At 63.6% G+C, this 15,805-nt stretch overlaps 1 protein-coding gene, 1 long non-coding RNA gene and 1 other non-coding gene across 33 annotated transcripts in view, besides 3 other annotated features; 1 reads left to right on the top strand and 2 right to left on the bottom strand.

Annotated features, from left to right (window-relative positions):
- Positions 1–4,331, top strand: part of MROH5 (maestro heat like repeat family member 5 (gene/pseudogene)) — a 73,405-nt gene extending 69,074 nt beyond the window's left edge. For 2 of the 3 annotated variants that reach the window (NR_102363.3, NR_160399.1), the window contains 6 exon segments: positions 1,294–1,470; positions 2,088–2,243; positions 2,907–3,029; positions 3,230–3,332; positions 3,531–3,605; positions 4,098–4,331. This is a non-coding gene — a transcript (maestro heat like repeat family member 5 (gene/pseudogene)). 3 annotated transcript variants of the gene reach the window in all.
- Positions 213–3,036, bottom strand: LOC107983985 (Putative chemokine-related protein FP248). Of its 2 annotated transcripts, NR_188164.1 has the most exons (4): positions 2,003–3,036; positions 1,669–1,848; positions 636–753; positions 213–446 (listed from the first exon to the last, which is right to left on the bottom strand). It is a non-coding gene; the product is annotated as a Putative chemokine-related protein FP248 (long non-coding RNA). The 2 variants fall into 2 exon arrangements; NR_188163.1 differs by having other exon boundaries at positions 1,669–3,036.
- Positions 4,117–4,805: an enhancer, noted in NCBI's record as "H3K27ac-H3K4me1 hESC enhancer chr8:142443451-142444139 (GRCh37/hg19 assembly coordinates)". NCBI's record gives its function as "activates a minimal SCP1, AML or CMV promoter by ChIP-STARR-seq in naive H9 embryonic stem cells {active_cell/tissue: H9 hESC(naive)}" and the evidence as "EXISTENCE:reporter gene assay evidence [ECO:0000049][PMID:30033119]".
- Positions 4,333–4,485: a silencer, noted in NCBI's record as "fragment chr8:142443771-142443923 (GRCh37/hg19 assembly coordinates)". NCBI's record gives its function as "represses an EF-1alpha promoter that drives an FKBP-Casp9 reporter gene in an ReSE screen in phorbol 12-myristate 13-acetate-treated (for megakaryocytic differentiation) K562 erythroleukemia cells {active_cell/tissue: K562(+PMA)}" and the evidence as "EXISTENCE:reporter gene assay evidence [ECO:0000049][PMID:32094911]".
- Positions 5,569–6,549: an enhancer, noted in NCBI's record as "H3K4me1 hESC enhancer chr8:142441707-142442687 (GRCh37/hg19 assembly coordinates)". NCBI's record gives its function as "activates a minimal SCP1, AML or CMV promoter by ChIP-STARR-seq in naive H9 embryonic stem cells {active_cell/tissue: H9 hESC(naive)}" and the evidence as "EXISTENCE:reporter gene assay evidence [ECO:0000049][PMID:30033119]".
- PTP4A3 (protein tyrosine phosphatase 4A3) overlaps positions 5,702–15,805 on the bottom strand; it is a 40,434-nt gene continuing 30,330 nt past the window's right edge. For 17 of the 28 annotated variants that reach the window (NM_032611.3, NM_001438243.1, NM_001438242.1 and 14 more), the window contains 4 exons: positions 13,016–13,108; positions 11,087–11,217; positions 10,332–10,406; positions 5,702–7,229 (listed from right to left, as the gene is read on the bottom strand). In NM_032611.3, the coding sequence (NP_116000.1) occupies positions 7,112–7,229; positions 10,332–10,406; positions 11,087–11,217; positions 13,016–13,108 (417 nt within the window). In that variant the 3' untranslated portion in view covers positions 5,702–7,111. The remainder of the gene's footprint in view (positions 7,230–10,331; positions 10,407–11,086; positions 11,218–13,015; positions 13,109–15,805) is intronic. The other 11 variants (NM_007079.4, NM_001438075.1, XM_047421300.1 and 8 more) reach the window with 1 other exon arrangement.

Here is a 15,805-nt window from a genome sequence, read left to right as displayed (position 1 = left end):
TTGGGGATGGGAAGGCTGAACCAGGTGTGGCTGGGGCAGGCCACCCCACTCCACTCTGAGTGGAAATACGCCATGCTATGCATTTTTCTTTTCTTTTCTCACCATTTCCATTACAATTTCATTCTGTTGTCCTGCTCTGACCTGGCCAGAACCCTGGTCTTCGAACACTGGCTGCAAACATAGATGCTCAGAAAGTGTAACTGTTGAATGACTCACTTGCTGAAAATGAATTTAATATTTTCAAAGCAAACAGCTAAGAAAGCCAACAAAGCTGCTTTAAACTTGTTTAAAAGTTGTAAAAATCACCCTGGTTTGCACCCAAGTCACTGCTAAGGGGCCCAATGGCAGGAAACATCCATTGGTGGGCACACTGCTTTCTGACCATTCATCCCGATAACTCAGGAAATCACTGCAAACACGCAATCAAGTGGAGAAGACGGAACTGGCTGAAAATTAATTAAAAAAAAAAAAAAAAGACAAGTCGAATGTGTTGGCTCACACCTATAATCCCAGCACTTTGGGAGGCCAAGGCAGGTGGATTGCTCAACCCCAGGAGTTTGAGACCAGCCTAGGCAACATAGTGAGACCCCATCTCCACCCAAAAAAAAAAAATAGCCAGGTGTGGTGGCACGCACCTGTAGACCCAGCTACTCAGGAGGTTATGTTGGGAGGATTGCTTGAGCCTGGGAGGTCAAGGCTGCAGTAAGCTATGGTCACACCACTGTACTCCAGCCTGGGTGACAGTGTGAGACCCTGTCTCAAAAAAGAAAAGAGGCCACCCTGTCCAGACCACGCAGCTCCTGGTGGACAAAGCCCAGTTAGGGGCACAGCTCCCCACGGCGGGCAGGGCCAGGCCAGGACCCACAGCTCCCCACGGCGGGCAGGGCCAGGCCGGGACCCACAGCTCCCCACGGCGGGCAGGGCCAGGCCGGGACCCACAGCTCCCCACGGCGGGCAGGGCCAGGCCGGGACCCACAGCTCCCCACGGCGGGCAGGGCCAGGCCGGGACCCACAGCTCCCCACGGCGGGCAGGGCCAGGCCGGGACCCACAGCTCCCCATGGCGGGCAGGGCCAGGCCGGGACCCACAGCTCCCCACGGCGGGCAGGGCCAGGCCGGGACCCACAGCTCCCCATGGCGGGAAGGGCCAGGCCGGGACCCACAGCTCTGAATCACCACCCCCCACCCCCCCACCCAGTGCAGATGGGGTGAGGGGGTCAAGTGGGAGAACGAGGCGGGGGCATGGGGCCAGCGGGTCCTAGTGCTCTCCGCCCACCAGCCGCCACCACCCCCAGGGAAGCCTGCTCCAGGGACAGCTGCGGCCCTTGCTCGACGGCTTCTTCCAGAGCAGCGACCAGGTGATCGTGTGCATCATGGGCACCGTGTCAGACACGCTGCACCGCCTGGGCGCGCAGGGCACAGGGAGTCAGAGCCTCGGCGTTGCCATCAGCACACGCTCCTTCTTTAATGACGTGAGCACTGGGGCAGGGCGGGGCTACCTCCTGCTCACGCCCTCCAGGACCCTCCTCCCAACCCAGCTCCCTTCCTCTGCCAAAGGGGGAACCCCAAGCTGCAAGCAGGGAGGCCCAGGCCCTGGGGAGCTGCCCGCTTGTGGCCCTCGGTTGAGGTGGGCGCTGAGCAGGTGGGCTGGGTGGGCCCCTGGCGCTCACCCCTTCTCCACAGGGCTGAACTAGTTCTCACGTTCAGTCTCCAAGTGCAGTGGTCTCCGGCCCCACGACAGCCTACCCAGATTTGCTTTCTGACATGTCAGCACGGTTAGCGTGGCTGTTTTTCCTTCACTGGGGAATCTGGGGGATAGGCGCCCCTCAAATGCATTCATGAGGCCTGGGCTGCCAGGATGCAGTTGTGGGTAGAAGGGAGATGTGATTCTTACATCCTCAGGGACACCAGAGAGCCCTGTGTGAGGGGGGAGCCCCAGCCCTTCCCTTCCCCGGGAGCCGAGAGCCTGGGTGAAGGAATCCTGCAGAAAGAACTGAGTTGTACCCCTACAAGGTGTGGGGTCCCAACTTGGACCAAAGCTGGGACCCCTGGACAGGTCTGGCCGTGCCTCTGAGCCTCTGCCTTGCAGGAGCGGGACGGGATTCGGGCGGCAGCCATGGCACTGTTCGGGGACCTGGTGGCGGCCATGGCAGACAGGGAGCTGAGCGGCCTGCGGACCCAGGTGCACCAGAGCATGGTGCCCCTGCTCCTACACCTGAAGGACCAATGCCCAGCTGTCGCCACGGTCAGTGCCCACCCCAGGAAAGGCAGGTGATAGGCCTTCACCTTGGCCAGGGCTGGGACCCACAGGAGGCCAGGGTACGGGGCAGACGGATGGCAGCAGCACTGCCTGAGAGTTGGGGGAGCTCCCACGGGGCAGCAAGTGGCGGGCAGAGGGTCTGGCCATCTGCACTGGTTTCTGTGACCACAGTTGGCCTGCCCGCTCCCCCACTGCGCACACGCATGCGAGCGAGACTTGCCGTCGATGCGGCAGGACCCGGTCTTTTCTGCTCACTGCTGTGCCCCCAGTCCCTGTAACGGGGCAGGGGGTCCAGCAGCTCACAGAGCTTGTGTGAATATGGACTGTGCCCTGCCTGCCGTGGCAGCACATGCCCTGTGCACAGCCCACGAAGTCAGAGCTTGGCCTCGCGGGTCTCCCTGCCATGGGGAAAAGGATACGGGGCAACCGTGGAAGGGGCAGGGCCAGGGCCGCGGGCAGACCAGCCTGGGCTCCGGGGGGCCAGGTGCTGTTGCCAGGGTCGGGGAGGCTTGCCGAGGGGCACAAGCAGGACAGAACCAGGGAACACCCGCACAGCAGGCTGCCTCCAGTGCCCATGGAGGCCTGTGGCCTCTAGGGGAAAGGGCTCAGACATAGGCGGTGGGTGACCCTCCACGCCTGTCCCTGCAGCAGGCCAAGTTCACCTTCTACCGCTGTGCTGTGCTGCTCCGCTGGCGGCTACTGCACACCCTCTTCTGCACGCTGGCCTGGGAGAGGGGCCTCAGCGCCCGCCACTTCCTCTGGACCTGCCTGGTGAGAGGCCTGGGATCGGTGGGGAGGAACAGGGCCAGGGAGTGGGGGAGACCAGGCTTGCGGCTCCCCCATTCACTCCCGTCTCACACACAGCTGCTATAGCAGCTCCAGGGGCTGGGCAAGGCAAACTGGGGCTGGAGGACCCTGGTATGCCCAGGGCCCCCAGCCCGTCCCAGCCAGGTGTGCTCTCCTCCGGCCAGATGACCCGCAGCCAGGAGGAATTCAGCATCCACTTGTCACAGGCCCTCAGCTACCTGCACAGCCACTCCTGCCACATCAAGACCTGGGTGACACTCTTCATAGGTGGGAGGGCGAGGCCGGGCTTAAAGACCCCCAGGCCTGCCCCCACCCAAGCACCCTTGACCCTCCCTGACTCACCACCCACAAGAGAGGAAAGGGGGTGGATGAGGAGGAGCTTGGGGCTGAAGAGGGGCAGGGGTGGGCTACAGCCCCCCAGGAGACAGGGAGCCCTGAGCCACCAGCTGCCCGTCTGTTACACAGGCCACACCATCTGCTACCACCCCCAGGCCGTGTTCCAGATGCTGAATGCTGTGGACACCAACCTGCTGTTCCGCAGTAAGCAGCCCTCCCTCCAGAGCTCCCGCAGCCCGCACCCTCCCACCCCTGCCCAAGCACTCTTAAGACCCACTGCACAGACAGCAAGACTGAGGCCCCAGAAGGGAACCCCCTCCTGCCCCCCCTACCCAGCATCAGCATCAGGACAAAGACACAGGCCTCCTGGGCAGCACCCAGCCGCCATCCCACCTTCATGTCTGGAGGCTGAGGTTGGCCCTTCCCCTCCCCAGGCCCCCATCAGGGCACCTGGGGCCTAAGGCTCACACTCACTCCACAGCTGCCTCATGGCACCAACAGAACAAGGGGCTGGGGAATGGGGGTGGTGGGTTAGTGGTGGAGGGAAGCATCCCAGGCCTGGAGTCACAGGAGGTGGGGTCTGAGCTGGCCCCACCCACCACCCACCCCACCCCCCACCCCCCCAACACCTGGGCTGGAGTAAAGGGGCTGCTCCTGCGCTGGGGTCACCTCTGACCTGCTCCTCCTCTTCTGGAGCTTTTGAACATCTCAGAAGTGACCCTGAGCCCAGCATCCGGGAATTCGCCACCAGCCAGCTCTCCTTCCTCCAGAAGGTGTCGGCCAGACCCAAGCAGTGACCTCCAGCCATCCTCCCCCACCCACCGCCTTCCCCTCCCGTGTCCACCTGGTCAGCCCTGCCCCATCCGCCCCCCACAGAGCTTGGTTGCATAACGTTTTTCCATTTGAAAGAAAGATCTAGATTCAACAAAAGAAGCGTTATGCGTGTCAGCTCCCTGCCCACCACAGGCCCCTCTGCTGTGACCAAGCCAAGCCCCAGGAGACACTGGCAGGACTTGGGGACAAACTCAGGGTCAGGCCCAGGGGACAGAGACAAACTATGAAGTCTGTGAAGTGCCCTGCAGGTGGATACCCGTCCACTCCTGGAGACAGGGTCACCTTGACTGGGGCCTGAGCCCAAGCCACAGCCTGCCAGGGTCCCAGGGTCCTGGGGGCTGGGGCTGGGCAGGCACTCAAATTGAGGGCAGCCTCCGCCCAGGGTGGCCACTCAATCTTCAGTTGTCTCCATCTTGGCGCGCCACAGTGGCTGGGGGCTGACGGTCGGACGGGGTCCCCTCAGTCGGGACCCCCAGCCTCGGGCCCCCAGCGTCTCCCTCCACCCCCACCAACATCCTCCTCAGTCCATTCAGGGCTAGCAGCAGAACCAGCCAGGCCCACCCTGGACACACTGTCGCCTGAAGCAGGAGTCTTGGTTCTCTGAGCCTCAGCTGTTCCATCTGTAAAATGGGCAGTAAGACCTTTCTCCCGAGACCCTTGGAGGGATGAGTCCAGAGGCAGGTACCCTGGACTCCCAGAGAGCCACCAGGGGACCTGCCCAACCTTCGGCCTCGGCCTGGGTTTCCGCCTGGCCTGGGGTCCACACAGCTCCTGGAGAGCCCCTCCCTGCAGAGCTCTGCCTGGGGCCCCATCCCATGCTGCATCTGTCTCGGGATCCTGCCAGGCCAGCCACCATCCCACCAATGGGATAATCCAGACTGCACCCCTTTTCCCCTCCTGGCCAGCGCGGACCCCCACTCCACACTCAGCTCAGGCAGTCCTTCCACCTGGGGCATCTCCCCCACCTCCCGACGTGGTACTCTGCACTGTGCCCCCCCCAGGCCCCGCCTCCATGCCCCTGTCCCCCTGCCCCCTAACAAGGTGGAGCACACCAAGGCCCCACCTCCATGCCCCCATTTCTCCTGCCCCACGAGGTAGAGCACACCAAGGCCCCACCTCCATGCCCCCATTTCCCCTGCCCCCCAAGGTGGAGCACGCCAAGGCCCCGCCTCCATGCCCCCCATTCCCCCGTCCCCCCGGCAAGGTGGAGCACCCTGAGGCCCTGCCTCCATGCACCCTGTCCCTCAGTCCCCCCAAGGTGCAGCACCCCAAGGCCCCACCTCCATGCCCCCTGTCCCCGCCACCCCCCGAGGTGGAGCACCCCTAGCTGTAACTGGGAGGCTTACCAGCCTGTCTTCCCCCCAACCCTGCTAGACTGTGAGCCTCTTGGGGCAGGGACATGGCTACACAGGGCCAGCAGAGGTGACCCCAAAACTTGGCTGGTGGATTGAAAAAATACAGCAAACTTCACCCAACATGCATTGGATTTACTTGAGTTCCAAATGTGTTTGAGGAAAGGAGAGAATAACCATCCGGGACAGCTGTTGCCCTTTCTCCACACAGGAGCTGGGGGAGCCAGGTCTGCGGCCCCCTTAGCCATCTGTCGGTCTTGGGGGCAGGGCTGCCTGAGAAGGGGCTTTTGGGGTTTCCACATCTCCCCATCTTGTCCACTGACCTCCTCCAGCACCTGCCCCAGTCGCTCCTTGCGGGAACCTCCTGGGGCCCCAGGACGGAGACCACTCCCAGGCTCTCCACACCCTGGAGCCAGCCCTAGGCCCACCTTCCTCCCCGCTGGGGCCATGCCCTCCATGCACCCCGGCCCAGGGTGGGGCCAGCCCCCAACACAGACACTGCACCCAGGAACACATGAGCATCTGGTCCACGCCCTCCGGCGGGCCCTGGTCCAGGCCTCTCACATCCAGCCCCAGGTGCCCAGGTGGCACCCTCCCTCCCTGGGCTGATGGATGGTGACTTCCTCCACCCAAGCCACCACCTGCCCCCTTCTCTGCGCCTCGGAGCCGGAAATGTGGACACCTGGTTTGGGCAGCACAGGGACCAACCAGCCGGACACAGGCCCTGAGAAGCTGCCAAATGAATCCCAGCCCATCCTGCAGAGGACAGTGCTGGTGACCTGCCTCGCCTTCCAATGTCACAGTCCCAAGAACCGTCAACACGGCCACCCTGGCCAAGGCAGGGCTCCCACCTCGGTATCAGGACAGGACAGGGCAGGCTGGCCCCTGGGTCGGGGTGCAAGGACCCAGAGCGGCCACCAGAGGGCAGCGCAAGAGCACGCGGGAGCCCCATCCTGGGCACCAGCCCAGGATCCAGACAGCAGCCTCTGGGGCCCCCAGGCCACCAGCCCGCCCCGCCTGACGCTGTAGCCCACTCCACACACACGGCCACGGCTCCTGTTTTATTGCCTTCGGGTGTCCGGAGCACCTGACTGCCCCGGGGTCTAATAATTTAAGGTGCCGAGAACAGGTCAGGACAAGGGGTCGCAAAAGAGGGGCTGGGGGCCCAGTGGTTACAAAATATACCCCCACCCCACAACAAACAGGCTAGAGGAGACCAGCCTGGCTGGTGTGGGAGGGGGCGGGCAGAGGGCGCCCGACCCACCTCAGAGAGACAGAGCCACGGCCAGCGCCGCCAGAGGGAGTGGCGGAGACAGGAGAAAGGGCCCAGAGGCCACCCAGGGCCCGAGGGGCTCCTCGCTCCTCGGACACAAGTGCACGGAGGTGTCGGGGAGGAAAAGGCGATGTGGGGCCAGCCAAGGCCTGGAGCCCCTGCTGGGCTGGGCAGAGCAGGGCTGGGCAGGGCCTCCAGGTCCAGCCAAGGTCCTGACCTACATGACGACCAGGCCCAGCCAAGGTCCTGAGCTACATAACGCAGCACCGGGTCTTGTGCGTGTGTGGGTCTTTGAACCGCAGCCTCTGTTTGGGCCGGTATTTCTCCAGGTAGGTGAGCTGCTTGCTGTTGATGGCTCCGCGGCGCTTCCTGGGAAGAGGGGAACAGGAACAGAGATCATCCAAGGACCTGGCTCGGCCATCTCACCTGCCCCAGGGAGCTGGAATCTGAGAGTGCAGTGGGCTGGAGTAAGGCCTTGAGGCTGGCCAAGCCCCTCCTGTCCCAGGGCCTTGGCACGGCTGCTCCCAGAGTCACAGTCACCCTTTCCTGGCCCCCTGCAGCTCACCCCTGCTTGCCTTCCAAACTCACCAAAGCGCCACCTCCTCCAGGCTGACTCTGGGCTCCCTACGGCCCCCAGGCTTCCCTAGCTCGGTAGGACCCACCCCAAGGCCATGAGCAGACAACAAGGGTGGTGCCTGGGCACCTCCACCATCCAGGAAGGGGGGCCTGTGAGTAAGGGAGGGGCTGAGCCCAGAATTCCAGCCCAGCTGCGCGACCTTCCCTTACAACAGGGACCTGGGCTGCATGCTCACCCTGTCCCCACCATCCCCACCACCTGGTCCTTACAGCGGGGACCTGGGCTATGCGCTCACCCTGTCCCCGCCACCTGGTCCTTACAGCGGGGACGTGGGCTGTGCGCTTACCCTGTCCCCGCCACCGGGTCCTTACAGCGGGGACCTGGACTGTGTGCTCACCCTGTCCCCGCCACCGGGTCCTTACAGCGGGGACCCGGACTGTGTGCTCACCCTGTCCCCACCATCCCCACCACCTGGTCCTTACAGCGGGGACCTGGGCTATGCGCTCACCCTGTCCCCGCCACCTGGTCCTTACAGCGGGGACCCGGACTGTGTGCTCACCCTGTCCCCGCCACCTGGTCCTTACAGCGGAAACCTGGGCTGTACGCTCACCCTGTCCCCGCCACCTGGTCCTTACAGCGGGGACCCGGACTGTGCGCTCACCCTGTCCCCGCCACCTGGTCCTTACAGCGGGGACCCAGACTGTGCGCTCACCCTGTCCCCGCCACCTGGTCCTTACAGCGGGGACGTGGGCTGTGCGCTCACCCTGTCCCCGCCACCAGGTCCTTACAGCGGGGACCCGGACTGTGCGCTCACCCTGTCCCCGCCACCTGGTCCTTACAGCGGGGACCCGGACTGTGCGCTCACCCTGTCCCCGCCACCTGGTCCTTACAGCGGGGACCCGGACTGTGCGCTCACCCTGTCCCCGCCACCTGGTCCTTACAGCGGGGACCCGGACTGTGCGCTCACCCTGTCCCCGCCACCTGGTCCTTACAGCGGGGACCCGGACTGTGCGCTCACCCTGTCCCCGCCACCTGGTCCTTACAGCGGGGACTGGACTGTGTGCTCACCCTGTCCCCGCCACCTGGTCCTTACAGCGGGGACGTGGGCTGTGCGCTTACCCTGTCCCCGCCACCGGGTCCTTACAGCAGAAACCTGGGCTGTACACTCACCCTGCTCCCGCCACCTGGTCCTTACAGCAGGGACCTGGGCTATGTGCTCACCCTGCCCCGCCACCTGGTCCTTGACCACATGTACCTGGCTGGGGTGAACAGGAAGACTTCCTGGAGAGGATGCTGCAGCCACACCTGAGAGGCCCTGAGGTGACAGGCGTTGAGGGGCGGGGGCTGCCCACCCAGCGCCTCTGGAGGCTCATCCATCCCCACCTGCCATGACCTCAGGCGTGGCCACAGGCTGGCCCTGGCCAAGGAAGTGGGAGCAGCAGTAGCGCGAGGAGTCTCTGCCCAGCAAAGCTGCAGGTGCCCCGTGTGGCTCCACCGTGCTCGTTTCCTCGCCCAGCAGCCGGCACACTGGGGAAGGCGCAGCCCTCAGCCACGCCTCCGGGTAGGGCCCCCACCAACAGACACGCAACAGGGGCAAGAAACGCCCGTGCTGTTCTGAGTCGTTGGGGTTCAGGCCTGGCTGTTTCCGCAGCATGGCCCAACCTGTCCTGACCAGCGCAGCCTCAGGTGCGGGGAGCCACACAGCAAAAGCCACAAGGGAGAGACAAGCCCTTGCTCGGTGAGACGTGGGGTGGGGAGAGAACCCGGGGAAGGTGTGCACCCGCATGTGTGAGAGTGCATGTCATGTATGAGTGCACACGTGTGTACATGCCTGAGTGCATCCATGTGTGTCCATGTGTGCAAATACCCGCTTGTCTGTATGTGCCTGTGTTCACACACCTGCCTGTGAGTGTGTGCCTGCGTATGCCTGGGTCTGTGTGGGCACACATGTGCTTGTGAATGTGTGCCTGTATGACCCCCATGCGTGTCTGTGTGTGAGCGTGCACATCCCATGGTCCCCAGGGAGACCTGAGCACCTGCAGGCCACGCTCTCGCACAGACCCACAGGGCGGGCCACGCTCTCGCAGACCCACAGGGCGGGCCACACTCTCACACAGACCCACAGGGCCAGCTGGCATGGCTGGGAACAAGCCTGCCTCTGGGAGGAAGAGATGGCCCCACCAGCCAAGCCTGTCCGAGGAGTACCACAGGTGTGTCACACTCACGGGCACACACATGGTGGGCTGGGCAGGGGCAGGCTTCAGGTGCCGCATCCGTTCCTCCAGAGTTGGCCCTGCCATCCCGGCCAGACTCCCCCAGGACCCCCTGGGCAGTGGGCAGATGGCAGCCCTCCCCAGGGAGGCCACCAAGTGACAGGGATGGGGCAGGCGAGCTGGCCTAGAAGCCTCTAAGGAGGGCGGGGAGGGGCTGAGCTGGAGAGCTCGGGGTTGGGGGGAGGGGTGGTGAGCAGCTAGACTCAGAGTAGTCCTGAGACACTAGCCCACTGTCAGCGTCCCTGGGGGTGGACACGGTGTGGTGTGGGGTTTCAGGTTCTAGTTTTTCATGGAGGGACTGAACTGGCTGGCTCTGGGGGTCCTTCCACCCCCGTCAGGATGGCTGCGACAGAAGGAGCTCTGTCTGTGGAGGGCGGGCAGGACGGCGTGGCGGGTGGCCTCGCTGTGTCCCTGTGTGGCTGCATGGTCACTCGGGGGCTGCTGTCCCCACCCATCAGAAACACCTCAGGCTTCCCCGTTTCTGCAGCAAGGCCCAGCTTGTGCTGATCGACGCAGCCTCAGAGCGACGGAACCACACAGCCAATGCCGCCACCCTTCGTGGGCAGCCGGATCTCCCCTCCCCCAGCGCTCACAGCCCACCCCACCACCGCGGCCACTCACTGGCGGATGAACTGGATGGCGTCCTCGTACTTCATCCCGCTCTCAATAAGGGCCAGCGCCACAAGGACTGGAGCCCTGGGGGCAAACAGCAGGGCGGGGGTCATCGGAGCCTGCGCACCCCTGTCCCCTTGGCAGGGCACCTGCTGAAGATGCAGGGCACGGGGGCCCAAGGGGCCCAGAATCCCCCCTGCCTGAAGCTCCCCCATGGAGGCCACAGCCTCACAGCCCAGCCTGAGCACTGGGTCTAAATCCTGGCTCCCTCCTAGGCAACCTCTCTGTGATCTGCTGGGGGAGGGTTAAATAAGAGCTGGCGGGTGAAGTGCTAAGAGCCGGATCCATGCCTGCTATCAACTCTGCTCGCCTGGGTCTCCCTCTGCAGATGGGGGTGTCCCACTGGTCATGTCATCCGATCCCAGCTGCCATTCTTCCTCCCGTTCTCCCAGCAGGGAGTCTGAGGCCCCAGCTGTGTGTGGGGGGATCTTTGTGTCTGGAGAGGGGGACGGCAGCCCTTTCCTACACAAGATGTCAGGATGGTTTCAACCATAGCAGGAAGAAGTTGGGTTAGACTTTGGGAAGCACTTCCTCTCTGTGATGCTGGGAGAGGACCAGTCTGGGAGCCCCAGCACTAGGGGCATGGGCCTCCTGGGAAGGTCGCGTGGACGTGTGTTCAAGACCCACATCCAAAAGCGAGGCTGTCAGACCACGAGATGCCCAACCACCTGACATGGCGAGCCCTACCCCGCCCCGACACTCACCGGCCCAGGCCCGCCACGCAGTGCACAGCCACGCAGCTGCCGGGGGCCTCACAGAACTTGGCCTTCACCAGGCTCAGCCAGTCTTCCACTACCTTGCCGGGCGGGGGCGCCCCATCGTCAAACGGCCAGTCCTACGGAGGGAAGCAGACATGAGGACCCCCGGCTGAGGGAGGGTAGAGAGGCGGCTCTGGGGCTCAGGCGAGGAAAGGGAGCTCTGAGAGGCAGAGGGTGCCAGGAGCCCACTAGGGTGGGGGCAGCAGACCCAGAGGGCACACAGGAGGGGCACAGCTTGCCTATGGGCACCCCATGGTGAGTGCTTCAGACTCCTCATCATTCCCTGTACACTGCAGCTATCCCCTCCTCCAGGAAGCCTTCCTGGACCACCCCACCCCTTTCTGAATAGAGCCTGCTCCAGAGTCGCACAAATCCTAATCCCCACACCTGTCAGCCCGAGCTCTGGTTCTGGGGTCACAATCCCTCACGCCTGTGTGCCGGTGGCAGCCTGAGAGGTTTTGGGTCGGCTGGTGCAAAGGGTCTCATCCCCTGTGCTGGCATGCAAAGATGGCTGGCACATGCCACACACAGCCCAGGTGCCAGGAAGGACTGAAGACAGGGCTGTGGGGCGAGACAGGGCCCACATTTCTGAGGGCAGGACTCGAAACAGGCGGTTCCACCGGGCCCCGGCCCATTGCTCCTGGGGGTTAATTTGGTCTTGGAAGATGACCTGTGCTTCCCACTGTCCCGTCCCCCAGCGCCCTAGATCGGTGGGCAACGTGAGTCTTCCTAGGGGAGGGCCCGGGCCAGGGCGCTGCAGTAGGAGTGGACACGTTTCAGTCTTGGGAAGGCGGGTTCATGCAGGGACTGTGCCAGGCATGGGGCTGTCTGGTACCAGGGAGAGCCCGCTGGGCCCACTGAGGCAGACACACAGCCCTCGGGGGCATCTCACCCCTCCCCAGCCTCCAGGCAGGGCAACTCCTAGAGACAACCGGTGTCACGGCTACTTACGTCTGACCCCAATCCCTCCCGCTGCTGTGGAAGGGGAGGGAGGGTGTGGGCGCACCCCGTGCGAGAAGCGGGGACATGCCTTTGCCTCCCATTCTTCCAAGCAGCCTCGCTTTGAGGTGAGGAACCCAAGGCTCGGAGTGACCTGCAGGGTCGCAAGGCTGGGGAGGGCAGAGGCGGGACGCAGCCCAAGGCCTGTCTGACCCCAAACCGCCAGCGCTGCCACCATTCCAAACCGCCAAGCTGAGGTCACAAAACTGCAACCCCAGCCAAAAGCAGAGTCCTGGGATGAAAAGCAGTGACTGAGGGGTGCTCCGCACTGAGGAGACTGAGGCCCAGGCGCAGCTGGGCAGGCCTGCACCAGGGGGGCAGTCGTCCACCGGGCCGGGGGTGGACCCCCCTGGGGCTGGCTCTGGGCCTGCAGCTGCTGTGGCCCACCCCCCCAAGGATATCGCAGCAGAACCGCCCCACCCCCCGCCCAGACCTGGGTCCCCAGGGCCAAAGAAGCCGAGGAAACTGCCCAAGGGCCCTCCCCAGGAGCCTGCTGCCTGGCAACAGGGCCCCAGCCGCCCAGGCAGCAAGACTGAGATGCACCCAAGACAGGCCCAGAGGAGGGCCTGAGACAGGCAGAGGAGCCCACCCGCCACCTTGGCCGATGCACCAAGCATGTGCCACCCCTGCCTGGCGAACCGTGCTGGCCCACCCTAGAGACAGAAAGACGGGTGCGCAAGGGTGACTTTCTTGAGGTCACACGGCCCAACACCCTGGCCTTCCCTTGATGTACCCAGACACACACGTGGCCCAGGCACAGACATGCCCAGGGCTGCCACAGGAGGGGCACCAAACCCTCTGCGCAGGCCCGGAGCCCCCCGCCCCACCCTCCCCCGGTGGCAGCAGTGACTAGGGTCCCCGTGGCGCGCGCCTCACCACAACGGTGATGCCATCCTTCTCCAGCGGCGTTTTGTCATAGGTCACTTCACACACACGCACCACAGTGGTAGCCCCGTACTTCTTCAGGTCCTGGGGGTGGGAGGACGGAGGAGGCAGGGCTGGGCTGGGGCTGCAGGGCTCAGGGGGCAGGACCCACTCACCAGGGCTCCCAGGGCACAGCTGTGTCCCCCACAGTCACCCAGGACTTGGACATGTCCCCTCAGACCTCTCGGGGTGGAGCCCTGTCCCCTCAGTCCCCTGGGGCAGGGTCATGGCCCCTGAAGCCCCCAGGGAAGGGCATGTCACCCTCCAGCCAGGCAGACCCTGATGCAGTGAGGTCCACCAAGAGTGGACTTCAGGCTCCACTACTGGTCGAGGTAGTGTCTGGCTGTCGAAGAGCCTGTCCTAGGTCCCTTGGGCCACCCAGCAGAGGCAAAGGTGTCCCCACCTACATTCACGGTAACTGGCAGCTGGGACCCCAGCTGCCCAGCACACCACTCCCTCCTCTGGGGTGCTCAGGACCCCAGATCTACCAGCAAGGACATTTCTTCCAGAAAAGCTACTGGGTCCCCACAGCAGGAACTGGACTCCCCAGCCCACGTGTGAGCCCCTGCATCCGAACAGCGACCCCAGCTGAGCCGCAGGGATGGGTCCAGTTTTTAGGGTCTAAGAGGGGCGGGCATCAGCTGGGGCGCCTCAGAGCAGGGAGGGTGGGCACCGCTCAGATGGCAGCCAGGAGGAAGCTGGGCCCTGTACGCCAGCAGGGAAGCCCCACACGACCAGGGAAAAGGTGGTGGTAGTTCACAGCCAGGCCGATAGTTATACCCCCACTGCGGAGGATCCACTCCACAGGGGTCACGTGCGGGGGCTGTTCCCACCCCACCTGCTCTCGTAGCTATTTTGGGAGGGGTGAGGAATCAGCTGATGGGTCTTGCTGGTCACGGGACAGGGACCTGGAACACAGAGAGGCCAGCACCCAACTATCTGAGAATGCAGGGAGCAGGCAGGGTGCTGGGCTCTGTGGCCATGGGGTACCTCAGAGGCCCTCTGCACCCTCAGCAGAGGGAATGGCCACCCAGCCCACGGCTCAGCCCTGGCCCTGGTCACAGGCTGAGCCCTTCCTGATCCTGGTCACACACTGAGCCCTGATCCTGGTCACGTCCTGAGCCTTGATAGTCACACACCTCTGAGCCCTAATCCTGATCACGTGCTGAGCCCCCAACCCTGGTCACACATTGAGCCCTAATCCTGGTCACATACCGAGCCTTGATCTGGGTCACACACTGAGCCCTGATCCTGGTCAGACACTAAGCGTTAACCCTGGTCACAGGATGAGCCCTCCCTAACCCTGCTCACCTACTAAGCCTCAATCCTGGTCACACACTGAACCCTGATCTTGGACACACACTGAGCTTCGACCCTGGTCACATACTGAGCCCTGATCCCAGACACACACCAAACCCTGGCCCTGGTCACACACTAAGCCCTGATCCTGGTCAAACACTGAGCCCCAACCTTGGTCACATACTGAGCGCTAATCCTGGACACACACTGAGTCCCAACCTTGGTCACATACTGAGCCCTGATCCTGGACACACACTGAGCCTCAACCCTGGTCACACATTGAGCCCTGATCCCAGACACACACCGAACCCTGACCCTGGTCACACAGAGCCCTGATCCTGGTCAAACAGTGAGCCCCAACCTTGGTCACACACTGAGACCTGACCTTGGTTACAGACTTAACCCTGATCCCAGTCATATTCTGAGGCCTCACCCTGGCCACTCACCGTGCTGTTCTCGCCAATCTTTCTGTAGATGCTGCTGTTATCTCAGGGGTCTCAGCTGCGAGAGGGACAGCCATCTTCTGTAGGGCACCTGGCTCAGTGTCCAGGGTCCAGGCTCCCTGATGGCAAGGTGCCCAATGCCTCCTGCTGCTCTACAGTTCTTAATGCCCTCTCACGCCCAAATCTGTTTCATTATGACAAGACCATGATGGCTTATCTCATGTCACAGGGGAAAGGACTCAGCCATAAATGACCCTGCACACAGCTGCAGCCTCTCACACAGCCTGGCACAGTCAGAGGCTCTGTCAACGGCCCCGCACACAACTGCAGACGCTGCAAACGGCCCCAGGCCTGCAAACAGCAGGGCGTTCTGCAGAGGCCAGGCTCCTCCAGGAGGCCATGCAGGTCGCTCCAGACTCCACTCCCAAGAAAGCTTCTGTAAACGCATCTCGTCCCATCTGCCAGGGTTGCCAGCGGCAGGTATCTCTGCTGCCTCTCCAGGGCACAGTGGTCCCTCCCTCCTGTGGTCAGCGCTGACCCTTGCTCAGTCCCTCCTCACACAGAGATCTGGGCCCTGAAGCCCCTAGTCCAGCCTGGTCTAACCTGAGGCCTCATCCAGAGCCCAGCAACATCTGGGACAGCAAAGGGCTCGGGAGGGCCCCAGCCCAGGCCACGGCTGAGCACGCACAGCCTGGTCCATGTATCCCCCTGCCTCACCCCCTGCCTCTATCCACACAGCGTGGAGTCCCTCCTATCACACGCCAGCCCCCTGCAGGCCTCCCAGGGGACCCCGTTGATCCCCCAACACCCTCAACCCCAACCCCCGGGGCACCCCCATCTCCCTCCTCCAGGATCCTGTAACAGGCGACTGGGCTTTGTTCCAAGGCTGTGAGCCCTGTCTGGCCAGCCGGGGCTGGGGACCCCTCTTGCGAGGCCTGAGGGCAGCTCAGCCGGGCTTCCCAGACACCTGGGCCACCTGCCTGCCACACCTCCGTCTCCA

Source organism: Homo sapiens, chromosome 8 (genome assembly GCF_000001405.40).
Source record: "Homo sapiens chromosome 8, GRCh38.p14 Primary Assembly".
NCBI classification, from domain to species: domain Eukaryota; kingdom Metazoa; phylum Chordata; class Mammalia; order Primates; family Hominidae; genus Homo; species Homo sapiens.
Note: the sequence above shows the minus strand (reverse complement) of the source record. Positions and strands in the feature narration are given on the sequence as shown.